At 43.1% G+C, this 13360-nt stretch overlaps 1 protein-coding gene across 13 annotated transcripts in view; it reads left to right on the top strand.

Annotated features, from left to right (window-relative positions):
* The window catches only part of TRIM26 (tripartite motif containing 26), a 28952-nt gene extending 26800 nt beyond the window's left edge, over positions 1 to 2152 (top strand). For all 13 annotated transcript variants that reach the window (XM_047419310.1, XM_005249378.3, XM_047419309.1 and 10 more), the window contains one exon: positions 49 to 2152. In XM_047419310.1, the coding sequence (XP_047275266.1) occupies positions 49 to 731 (683 nt within the window). In that variant the 3' untranslated portion in view covers positions 732 to 2152. The remainder of the gene's footprint in view (positions 1 to 48) is intronic.
* Positions 2153 to 13360: the final 11208 nt, after the last annotated feature.

Genomic DNA, 13360 nt, shown 5'->3' with positions numbered 1-13360 from the left:
AAAACAAAACAGTGATGCTGTTTTTTTTTTTTTCCCTTGTCCCCACAGTGAGCGTCACCCTGGACCCACAGTCGGCCAGTGGGTACCTGCAGCTGTCAGAGGACTGGAAGTGCGTGACCTACACCAGCCTGTACAAGAGTGCCTACCTGCACCCCCAGCAGTTTGACTGTGAGCCTGGGGTGCTAGGCAGCAAGGGCTTCACCTGGGGCAAGGTCTACTGGGAAGTGGAAGTGGAGAGGGAGGGCTGGTCTGAGGATGAAGAAGAGGGGGATGAGGAGGAAGAGGGAGAAGAGGAGGAGGAGGAAGAGGAGGCCGGCTATGGGGATGGATATGACGACTGGGAAACGGACGAAGATGAGGAATCGTTGGGCGATGAAGAGGAAGAAGAGGAGGAGGAAGAGGAGGAAGTTCTGGAAAGCTGCATGGTGGGGGTGGCTAGAGACTCTGTGAAGAGGAAGGGAGACCTCTCCCTGCGGCCAGAGGATGGCGTGTGGGCGCTGCGCCTCTCCTCCTCCGGCATCTGGGCCAACACCAGCCCCGAGGCTGAGCTTTTCCCAGCACTGCGGCCCCGGAGAGTGGGCATCGCCCTGGATTATGAAGGGGGCACCGTGACTTTCACCAACGCAGAGTCACAGGAACTCATCTACACCTTCACTGCCACCTTCACCCGGCGCCTGGTCCCCTTCCTGTGGCTCAAGTGGCCAGGAACACGCCTCCTGCTAAGACCCTGAGCCCTGACATCTGCCCCCAGCCCCAACCCTCAGATGCTTCACTTCTTTGGAATTCCAGGACTCTCAATGGGGGGACGGGATGCCTGGCCTAAGCACCTGGAGCAGGGGACCCCATATCCACTGGTAGCCACCTCCCCATTGCTGTGGCCCCCTGAAATCTCACTCAGTGCTGTTGCTCCATCTACTGCCCTAATGGGGCTCTTTTCCCACCTCCTGCTGGTTTCCCGAGGGAACTTCTGACCCTGGAGTCCATGAGGGCTCCTTTCCTTTTTGACCACGACCTTGGCCCCAGCTCTGCACTCTCTGGAATAAGGGCCCGATGCAGCATTTTCTTGCCCAGTGTGGCAAGACCTCAGAAAAACCAGTCAATTACGCCTAAGATCATTTTGCTGTCCTTAAACCCCCCAGGTTCCTTCTTGCACAAATCCACTCTGCTGCCCACCTTCCCTGGCATTTTAAACAGACCTACCCCACCCCAACTCAGAGTTAAGCATACATGGCAATGCTGAAAATAAACAAAATCCACTGAGGCTTCCCAGGCCATTTAAAGCCTGGAGTACCAGCGCATATCATCTCATGGGGTCCAGAGTGGAGTCCAGGCTTCTCTGAAACCAGGGCTGAGCATATTTCCATAGCCAAGGAGGTGGGACTCCCTGGAGCTATCTGTGGTCTTAGGGAAGGATCCAGACATACACGGCTTTGGGGTACAAGCTGTGATCACTGATCAATAAATTATCTCTAGATTGGTCCTTGTGAGGGGAGTTTTAAGAATCCAGAACATCTTGCTCTTGATCAGCACATCCAAAAACACCAAGACAAACATCCAGTGGAGCAGAACCTCTCCTGCCTCGGGAGTTCTGACCGGGTTCCCCAGCAGGGTGTTAAGCCTCTGTCTCTGGCCCTACCAGCATCCAGGTTCCACTTTCCTAGGAGAGAGTGGAGATGGGAAGACAGGGAAAGGAAGGCAGCAGGAGGCCACAAGCCCACCAGGTCTTCATGTCAAGAGAGGGAGTAACATGTCTTCTCATTGCCCACGGACCCAACCTCTGTCCAGGTGCCCCTCATCATCACAGTTTAACACAAGCTCCCCTGCTCCAGCCAAATTGATCTCCCAGTCTTGTCCTTACCCATTCCAAGTGCTCTGCCAGCCCCTGTTCATCCAAGTTTTAAGTCCTCCACCCTGTTCTAAGAGACTGTTCCAACGGCTCTGGGCCTCAGTGGTCACTTGACCACCATTGTCTCAGAGCTGCCCACTTTGTGTGTGTCACATGCTGCCTGAGTCACATGTACATCTTATTTCTGCCTCTAGTTTTGTAAGCTCCTGGAGGGCGGATAACATCTTATACTACTCTTGTATTCTCATGGCACCTAGTGCAGTGCTGGGCACAGAGTAGGTGCTCAATAAAGACTTGTTGAATGAACAGCCTGGAGATCTGTATTTGTAGGTCTATATCTATATTATATCTCAAATGCCACCAGACCTCAGTCTGGCTACAGAGAAATTCCACTGATAGCAGTAGCCGAAGGTTTTCCTTCTGTGCCTTCTGTAACAGTGTAACTTTGCTTTCTGTTCTCTGCACACATGCTGTCATTTCTGGAAGTCCCTCAAAAAGAGCCTACTGCGGAACACAGACGAGTTGTTGCGTGGCTCCACCTTTTTATTCCTCCTGCAGTGGTGCCCTTGAGCTGAGGTCCAGCGTTTTGGAGCAAGTGATGACTCTCCCTGAGAAGGGAGACCTCCAGTATAGCACACCCAAAAATTCTTCCTTGGAAAATAAGCACTGCCTCAGAGGAAATAGAATGTGCAGAGATTCAGCCTTGCATCCTAACACAGTCAACTGTTTTTCTTGTCCTTTCTGATTTTTTTTTTTTTTTTTTTTTTTTTTTTTTTTTTTTTTTTTTTTTTTGAGATGGAGTCTCACTCTGTCTCCCAGTTTGGAGTGCAGTGGCGCCATCTCGGCTCACTGCAAGCTCTGCCTCCCGGGTTCACGCCATTCTCCTGCCTCAGCCTCCCGAGTAGCTGGAACTACAGGCGCCCGCCATCACGCCCGGCTAATTTTTTTGTATTTTTAGTAGAGACGGGGTTTCACCATGTTAGCCAGGTTGGTCTTGATCTCCTGACCTCATGATCCACCCACCTCGGCCTCCCAAAGTGCTGGGATTACAGGCGTGAGCCATCGCGCCCAGCAGTCCTTTCTGATTTTTTAAATTGCCATCTTAAAGATGGAAAAGGGAGGATTATACGAAACTACCTGTAAAATTACGCTAGTGGCAAAGAGCATATTTCCTCTCTGTTCTCTAAGTTGTGGGCTCATGTAAATTTTCCCTTTTTATTTTTTATATTCATAGTTTTTCATTTTGTATAACTCTACTTGCACATATGGTAAACTTTCTACAGTGCTTCTTACAAATAGGAACATTTCCCTGCCCCATACCTCCCTCCAAAGACCCAGTTCATACCTTTCAGCAAACTATTTTGTGTTTGCCTTGCTGGGATTACAGGTGTGAGCCACCACAACTGGCTGAATTTTTATTATTTTAGAGACATGGTCTTACTCTGTCACCTAGGCTCTAGTGATGGTGCACTCGTAGCTTACTGTGGCCTTGAGCTCTGGGGCTCAAGTGATCCTCCCACCTCAGCCTCCCAAAGTACTGGAATTACAGGCGTGAGCCACTGTGCCCTGCCTGAATTATTTCTTGTTGACTTTTCCTCCTATTTTCTGTATTCTCTCAAATCTGTTATCTCCAGGCTTCATATGTCTCCTGAATTCATTTATTAAGTACCCGTGATGTGCCAGGATGTTTCTAGGTTACAACAGTGATAAGGTTAACAAAGTTCTGCACTCTTGGAGGTTATATTCCAGCAAATGGTGACAGGCAGTATGTTAAAATTGAAAAAAAAAAAGTAATTAGCACTATGCAAGGAAGTGAAATAAGTCTGTGATAGATAGTGACCTAGTATCTATTTTATAATGTGTGATCAGAAGGGAGTTCCCTGAAAAGATGGCATGAGAGCTGAAATCAGAATGGTGAGAGGGAAGGTCTAAGATCACATCAGCTAGAGGGAACAGCAAAGTCCTAAAGCAGGGACAAACTGGGTACAGAAAGAGTGCATTTAGAGTATGGTTATGGGAGAACAGAAAGAGCCATAGATTTTCTCTTTTTTTTTTAATAGAGACGGAGTCTCGCTCTGTTGCCCAGGCTGGAGTGCGGTGGCATGATCTTGGCTTACTGGCAACCTCCGCTGCCCAGGTTCAAGCGATTCTCTTGCCTCAGCCTCCCAAGTACCTGGGACTACAGGCGCACACCACCATGTCTGGCTAATTTTTTTGTGTTTTTAGAAGAGACGGGGTTTTGCCATATTGACCAGGCTGTTCATGAACTCCTGACCTCAGGTGATCCACCTATTTTGGCCTCTCAAAGTGCTGGGATTACAGGCATGAGCTTTAAAAAGAAACTTTTTAAAAACTGATGCATCCCAAGTACCCAGAATAATGCCTATCACATAAGTCTTGACCTGAGGCCGGACTGATGTGGCGCTGCTGTTGCTGCTGCTACTGCTGCCACCTGGCAAAAAAGAGATGGGAGACTGAGCACTCCCATGCACCCCCCTGGACAAATCCCATCGCCACTGCTACAGGCTGCTGTGAGACCAGGGCTTGAGAAGACTGCACTCCCTGTGGCTACTTGTCCTTGCTCTTCCACCTGAGAGGGGTCCTGCCCTCCCGGTGGCAAACCTGTAGTCATTATTCTGAGAGCTCAACCACCCGGGTCTGCATTCTGCCCCTGGGCCTGGCTGGGGCTGCTGCCGCCAAGCCAAGGCTAAGTTGAGGAGGGAGAGTAGAGACGGGGCACTTCCGCACGTTCCTAGGACAAATCCCACCACTGCTGCTATGGGCTGGTGTGGACAAAGGTGTGAGCAGATGACACTTCCCACAGCTACTTGCTCATGATGCGCCAGCTGAGAGTGGCCCTGCCTTCCCTGGTTGCAGGACTACAGTGCAGCCACCACAGCCAGCCCACACCTGAGCATTCTGCCAGTGGTCTGGGGACCTCTCCATCTCTTGTCTATCACAGCTAGCACCTGAATGCATTGCAGGGGGCCCTGAGGACAGGTCTGCTGGCCTGATCCCATCCCCCCAGTACACAAGCACATCATCCAGGGGCCCGGAAATTGCCCAGCCCAATCTACCACCACTGGCATCTGAATCATTCCTGTCAGGATCTGAGGTCAGTCCAACTCAATCTACCAATACCACCACAACTGACACCCACCCACACATGCTACCAGTGGGTCAGGGTACTAGCCTGCCCAACTTGTCACAGCCACCACCAACACCAGCACAGACTGCTTGGGTCCTAGCAGGTTGTTCCACCACTGCTACTGCCATTACCCATTTCACACCAGCTGCCCAGGAGCCTGAGAAGTTGCCCACATGTCTGGCCCACTGCTGCCACTGCTAGCATCTGAGCAAGTCACCTGAAGGCCCAATAATTGGCCCTCCAAGACCCACTAACGCTGTTGTCAGTTTAAGCCACTCTGTGGGCCCTAGCACAGGCTCATTCAACCCACCGCTGCCATCACTAGGGCCTGAAGACTGGCCCACCTAGCATCTTAGTTCCCAGCCAAACTTCACCACAGCCTTCACTAATAAGTGCACCTTAAGTCAATGAGGAAGTCACAGATACCACTGATGTTGTATACTGCCAAATAAATCATACAGGGATCACACTACTATAGGCACTCAAAATCAAAGCCAAAGCACCCTACTCAACAAACAACACGTAAAATCTTCAGGAAAAAAATCCTCCCCTATGAAAGCAATTTCAAAAATGGAAGAAGTGACTGTTGCAACTAAATGTGCAGATATCAATGTAAGGACACAGAAAACTAAAGAACAAAGAAATATGACACCAACAAAGGAACACAATACCTCTCCAGCTACAGTTATCAATCAGAAAGAAATTCATGAAATTCTAGATAAAGAATTCAAAGTACTGATTTTAAAGAAACTCAGTAGGCTGGGCACGGTGGCTCATGCCTGTAATCCCAGCACTTTGGAAGGCCGAGGTGGGTGGATCACGACGTCAGGAGATTGAGACCATCCTGGCTAACACGGTGAAACCCCGTCTCTACTAAAAATAGAAAAAATTAGCTGGGTGTGGTGGTGGGTGCCTGTAGTCCCAGCTACTCGGGAGGCTGAGGCAGGAGAATGGCGTGAACCCGGGAGGCGGAGCTTGCAGTGAGCTGAGATCGTGCCACTGCACTGCAGCCTGGGTGACAGAGTGAGACTCCATCTCAAAAAAAAAAAAAAAAAAAAAAAAAAAAAAAAAAAAAAAAAGAAACTCAGTGATATATAAGAGAATTCTGAAAAACAATAGAAAGAAAAAAGATAATAATGTAGGATATGAATGAGAAATTTAATAAAGCAATAGATTGTTTTTTAAAAGAAAAATAGAAAATCTGGATATGAAGAATTTATTAAAGGAAATACAAAATACCTTTGAAAGCTTCAACAATAGAACTAGATTGGGGAGAAGAAAGAGTCTCAGAGCTTGAAGGCAGCTCTTTTGAAATAACCTAGTCAGACAAAAATAAAGAAAAAATAATTTTAAAAAATTCAATTTACTTTGCCTAGATAAAAAAATTAGCAAAGCCTTCATGATATTTGGGACAGCATAAAGCAACTGAATATATGAATTGTTAGTATCCCCGAGGATGATGAAGAAATGAAAGGATTAGAAAATCTATATAATGAAATAATAGATGAAAACTTTCCAAGCCTAGCAAGGGATTTGGACATGCAGGTATAGGAGGCTCAATGTTTCCCAGGCAGATGCAATGCAAAGGGTCTTCTCCATAGCACATTATAATTAGACTGTCTAAAGTCAAAATAAAGAGCAAATTCTAAAAATAGCAACAGAATAGTGCCTAGTCACCTAAAAGGAAAACTCATCAGACTAACAAACAGTGGATTTCTCTGCAGAAACCCTACAGGCCAAAAGATAATGGGATGGTATATACAAAATGATGAAAGAAAATAACTGTCAGCCAAGAATATTAGATCCAGCCAAATTAAAGTATAAAGGAAAAAGAAATAAAGTCTTTCCCAGACAGGCAAATACTGAGGGAATTTGTTACCACTAGATCAGTCCTACGAGAAATGCTCAAGGGAGTCCTAAACCTGGAAGTGATAGGATGATATTTACCATCATAAAAACACACAAAAGTATAAAACTCGCTAGTAAAGCAATCACACAAAGGAAGAAGAGAAAGGACTCAAATGGTGCCTCTACAGAAATCCACCAAACCACAATGACAAACAAGAAGAAAGGAACAAAGAATATATAAAACAATCAGAAAACAACAATATGACAGGAACAAAGTCTCATATATCAATAATAATCTTGAATGTAAATGGAATAAATTCTTTACTTGAAAGATGTAGAATGGCTGGATTTATTTAAAAAGATAATACACCTGTAAGCTGTTTCAAGAAACTCAGTAAAGTTTCTTACCAGTAAAGACAAATATAGACAAAGTAAAGGGATGGAAAAAGATATTCCATACAAATGGAGACAAAAAGTGAGAAGGAGTAGCTATACTTATATCAGATACAACAGACTTTAAGTCAAGAATTGTGAAAAAAAAAAGCCAAAAATGTCATTATATAATGATAAAGGGATCAATCCAGCAAGAAGATTCAACAGTTCTAAATATATATACACCAAACACCAGAGCACCCACATTCATAAAGCAAATATTACTAGCTCTAAAGAGAGAGACAGATTGGAATACAATAATAGTGGGGGACTTTAGCACCTCATGCTCAGCATTAGACAGATTATCTAGACAGAAAATCAACAGAGAAACATTGGATTTAAACTGGACTTTAGACCAAATGAACCTAACATTTACGGAACATTCTATTCAACAACTGCAGAATATATATTCTTTTCATCAGAACATGGAACCTTCTCCAACATAGACCATATATTAGGTGACAAAACAAGTCTCAATAAATTTTTAAAAATTAAAATCATATCAAATATTTTCTCAGACTGCAATAGAATAAAATGAGAAATCAATACCAAGAGGAACTTTGGAAACTATACAAATACATAGATATTAAACCACATGGTCCTGAATGACCACTGGGTCAATGAACAAATTAAGATAGAAGGCCAGGCATGGTGGCTCACACCTGTAATCCCAGCACTTTGGGTGGCTGAGGCGGATGGATCACCTGAGGTCAGAAGTTCGAGACCAGCCTGGCCAGCATGGTGAAACCCTGTCTCTGTGAAAAATACAAAAAAATTAGCTGGGCGTGGTGGCAGGCGCCTGTAATCTCAGCTACTTGGGAGGCTGAGGCAGGAGAACCGCTTGAACCCGGGAGGTGGAGGTTGCAGTTAGCCGAGTTTACACCATTGAACTCCAGCCTGGGAGACAAGAGCAAAACTCCATCTGGAAAAAAAAAAAAAAAAAGAAATTAAGATGAAAATTAAAAAAAAAATCTAAAAACAAATGAAAATGGAAACATAAAACCTGTGGGATTCAGCAAAGGCAGTGCTAAGAGGAAAGTTTACAGCAATAAATGCTTACATTAAAAAAGTAGAAAGATTACAAATTAACCATCCAACAATGTACCTGAAGGAGCTAGAAAAGCAAGAACAAACCAAACCCCAAATTAGCAGAAGAAAAGAAATAATAAAGATCAGAGCAGAAAGTAGAGACTTAAAGAAATACAAAGGATCAATGAGATGAAAAATTGGTTCTTTGAAAAGATATACAGAATTGATAAGCTACTAGCTAGACTAACCAAGAAGACAGAAGACCCATATGAACAAAATCAGAATTGAAAAAGGAGACATTACAACTGACATCACAGAAATATTAAAGATCATCAGAGACGGTTATAAACAACTAGATAAAATTGGAAAATCTAGAGGAAGTGGATAAATTCCTGGAAACACACAACCTACCAAGACTGAATCAGAAAAAAATAGAAAACCTGAGCAGACCAATAATTAATAGCAAGATTGAATCAGTAATTAAAAGTCTCTCAAAGAAGAAAAGCCTAGGACTGGAGGGATTAACAGCTGAATTCTACTAAACATACAAAGAACTAATACCGATCCTCCTGAAACTGTTCAAACAAGTCAAAGAGGAAGGAATTTTCCCTAACTAATTATATGAGGTCAGCATCACCCTAATACTAAAACCAGACAGATACACCACAACACCAACAAAAAGAAAATTATAGGTCAATATCCCTAATGAACATAGATACAAAATCATAGATAGATACAAAAATCCTCAACAAAATACTAGCAAACCAAACCCAACAGCACATCGAAAAATACTACATCAAAATCAAGTGGGATTTATAGTAGAGATGCAAAGATGTTTCAATATGAATAAATAAGCATGATACATATTATCAATAGAATGTAGAACAAAAACCATATGATCATCTTAATAGATGCAGAAAAAGCATTTGATAAAATTTAACATTCTTTTAAGATAAAAACATACAACACACTAGGCATAGACGGAACAAACCTCAAACTCAAATGAGCTGTATGTAACAAACCCATAGCTAACATGCTGAATGAGGAAAAGTGGAAAGCTTTTCCTCTAAGCACTGGAACAAGGCAAGGATGTCTACTCTCAATACTCTTATTCAACATAGTACTAAAATCCTAGCTATAAGGATCAGGCAAAAGAAAGAAACACAATGTGTGATTTCACCAAAAAACTCTTAGATATGATAAATGAGTTCAGTACAGTTTCAGGCTACAAAATTAATATGCAAAAGTCAGTAGCATTTCTTTACATCAGTAATGATTTAGCCAACAAAGAAATCAAGAAGGCAATCTCATTTAGAAATTTTTGCTACCAAAAACAATTTAGGATTGAATTTAACCAAGGAGGCAAAAGATCTTTACAAGGAAAACTACAAAATACTGTTGAGAGAAATTCAAAACAACACAAATGGAAAAACACCTTATGCTCATGGATTAGAAGGAATATCAACATCATTAAAATGACCATATTGTTCAAAGTAATCTGCAGATTAAATGCAATCCCTAACAAAATATCAACATCATTCTTCACAGAATTTGAAAAAAAAATCCTAAAATTCATATGGACCAACCCCCCCCTCCCAAAAAAAGCCCAAATAGCCAAAGAAATCCTGAGCACAAAGAACAAATACTCTTGGATTAAAGGGAGTTTAGTAATTAATAGATTAGTAATACTTGCTACTAGAGACATTTTTGTCAGGTTTGTCAAATATCAGATGGTTATAGGTGAAAATCAAATCAAAACTACAATGAGATACTATCTCGCACCAGTCAAAATGGCTATTACTAAAAAGTCAAAAAGCAACAGATGCTGGCAAGGTTGTGAAGAAAAACGAATGCTTTTAACACTGTTGGTGTGAGTGTAAATTAGTTCAACCATTGTGGAAGACTGTGTGGCAATTCCTCAAAAACCTAGAGGCAGAAATACCATTCAACCCAGCAATCTCATTTACTGGGTATATACCCAAAGGAATAGAAATCGTTCTCTATAAAGATACATGCATGTGTATGTTCATTGCAGTAGTATTCACAATAGCAAAGATATGAAATCAAACTAAATGCCCATCAATGATAGACTGGATAAAGAAAATGTGGTACACATATACCATGGAATATTTTACAGCCATAAAAAGGAATGAGATCATGTCCTTTGCAGGGACATGAATGGAACTGGAGGTTGTTATCCTTAGCAAACTAAAGTAGGAACAGAAAACCAAATACAGCATGTTTTCACTTATAAGTAGGATCTAAATAATGAGAACATATGGACACATGGCAGGAGGCGGGGGGAACAACACACACTGGGCCCTGTTGGAGGGCGGGGGTGGGAGGAGGGAGAGGATCAGGAAGAATAGCTAATGGGTGCTGGGCTTAATTCCTGGGTGATAGGATGATCTGTGTAGCTGACTACTATGGCACACATTTACCTATGTAACAAACCTGCACATCTTGCACATGTACCCCTGAACTTAAAAGTTGAAAAATTTTTTAAAAAAGAAAAACATTAGGGAGTAGCTGCCTTTGGGAGTGAGGAGAATGGGAATAAAAATTGGGGAGAGAGGAGAAAATACAAATGAAACCAGAAGACCTTGCATGGACTGATGATGATAGTGTTCCAAGAACTGAGAGGTATGACTGAGTCAACACTCTACACTGGAAGTCTGAAAGAAGGAAAGAACTGAAAATGAAAAAGAAAATAAAGGCCATGAGTAGAGCTAGGAAGCTTCCTTATAGACAGGAGAATGGGCCCCACATCCAGAGCAAAGTAAGCCGACCAGAGAGACAATGCATCTGCCTAGGCTCTAGTTCCCATTACAACCAGCTCACTGTCATCACGGTTCCTGGGCTCCAGAGAGATTCCCTTATAGGTCCCACCTTGGTCCTTACAATAACCCCTCTGGTTCTCCGAGGCACATCAGTGTGACTGCTCCTCACATAGTCCAGCAGCCCAGCAATTATTTTGTGGGATCTCTTTGCCTCCTGCCCAGTAGTGGACAGAACTCAGCACTTGGAATTCAGGAACACCTACAAAAAGCATTAGGGGCAAGGCAGGTTGTGCAGAGGATCTTGTAGGGGAGATAGAGGACAGTTTTACATCACAAACACAGGAACACAGCCATCCTGTGGCTCCAGCTGGACCACCAAATGAATAATTTTCCTCTGCTTTTCCTTCAGGCAGCTCTCAGTCCTCACCCTGAGGTCTTAGCCACTCCCAAATTTCTTTTGGCTTCTAAATTTCTCTTTCCTTTCTTATGCAGAACAATTTATTAATATAGGCACAAAGCCTCCAAATGTGCATATCCACACTTTTAAATTATCTGGACCACTCTAAAATTAGAAGTACCAGAGACTTGGAAATACAGTGTGCTTATGGTTCATCGGTTCTTTTTTTCTTTTTTCTGTTTCATATGAAACCAAAAATGCCCTGTCTAAAACATGAATTCAATGGGTAGCAAATGAAACATAGCCCCATTGGGATGTGTCTGTTTTAGAAGTCTGAGTGTGGTGGAAATGTGACTGCACTGAGCTCCAGGACAGGTAGATTCTACTTCAGCAGGTCACAAGGACCAGCTGTGAAAATTGTTAGACAAGTTCATTTAACTGTGTGCCAGTTTTCTCAACCACCACATGAGAAAAACAAAATAGGTCTTATGTATTTCACAGGCTTGTTGTAAGGTTCAAATGAAGATATAATTAAAACAAATTTGACCAATGGTACAATTAGCATGTGTTGCACATAGTTTTTCTTTTGGAGGGGTTGCAAAGAATACTTATGGCATAATCTAATTTATGTAAAAAAAAGAGAAAGCAATATATATTTGTATTCAAAACTTGCAGGATATACAAAAAATTGATATCAATGTTTAACTATGGGGAGTGGCAAGGGGAAGTGTTGAGTGGGTGGGGAAAGAGGTTTTTATTTATACACTTTGAAAATGTTTGAATTTTCTTAACCATGAGCATATACAACTTTTATAATAAGCATTGGGCAATACTACTACTACTACCACTACTACTACTACTAGGTTGGACTACCAAGCCACTTGGGTCAGATAAGGATGGCTCTGCTCACCACACTGGGGGGCAGAAGAAACCCCACATTGTCTGGCTTCTTTTATATCAAGAACCTCTATTTCCCCAACAGTCAAGTTAGGGTTAATTATTCACATCACATTGATTCATGTTACAATTTTTAAATAAAATTCACATATGGTCCAAACTCTTTGAGTGCTTTTAAAACATCTGACCCATGCTTTAGGAGCAGGGCTTACGCAATAATGAAGATGTTCTTTGTTTTATTTGTTTGTTTGTTTCTTGGAGACAGAGTCTCACTCTGTCACCCAGGCTGGAGTGCAGTGGTACAATCTCAGCTCACTGCAACCTCTGCCTCCTGGGTTCAAGTGATTCCCCTGCTTCAGCCTCCCAAGTAGCTGGTCTGCCACCACACCCAGCTAATTTTTGTATATTTAGTGGAGATGGGGTTTCACCATGTTGGCCAGGCTCAAACTCCTGACCTCAGGTGACCCACCTGCCTCGGCCTACCACCGTGAGCCACCGCGCCTAGCCTGTTTTTTGTTTTTTGTTTTTTTGAGATGGAGTCTCACTCCGTCACTCGGGCTGGAATGCAGTGGCTTGATCTTAGCTCACTGCAACCTCCGCCTCCCTGGTTTAAGTGATTCTCCTGCCTCAGCCTCCTGAGCAGCTGGGATTACAGGCGCCTGCCATCTCGCCCAGCTAATTTTTATATTTTTAATAGAGACAGGGTTTCACCATGCTGTCCAGGCTGGTCTTAAACTCCTGACCTTAAGTGATCTACCTGCCTCAGCCTCCCAAAGTGTTGGGATTACTGGCGCAAGCCACCGTGCCGACCCTAAAGTGTTCTTGTACACAGGGTATTGTCTTACACTACAGGGAACCTGGATTGGAGTTGAAGGCAGATTTTTTTCAGAGGTTGGGGTGGAAGGGTGAGAATGTGAGTGTTCAACTTGAGAGGAGAAAGGGTAGGGGTGGAAGGAAACATCACTTGTATAGGGATTAATACT

This window comes from Homo sapiens, chromosome 6 (assembly GCF_000001405.40).
Source record: "Homo sapiens chromosome 6, GRCh38.p14 Primary Assembly".
NCBI lineage: Eukaryota > Metazoa > Chordata > Mammalia > Primates > Hominidae > Homo > Homo sapiens.
Note: the sequence above shows the minus strand (reverse complement) of the source record. Positions and strands in the feature narration are given on the sequence as shown.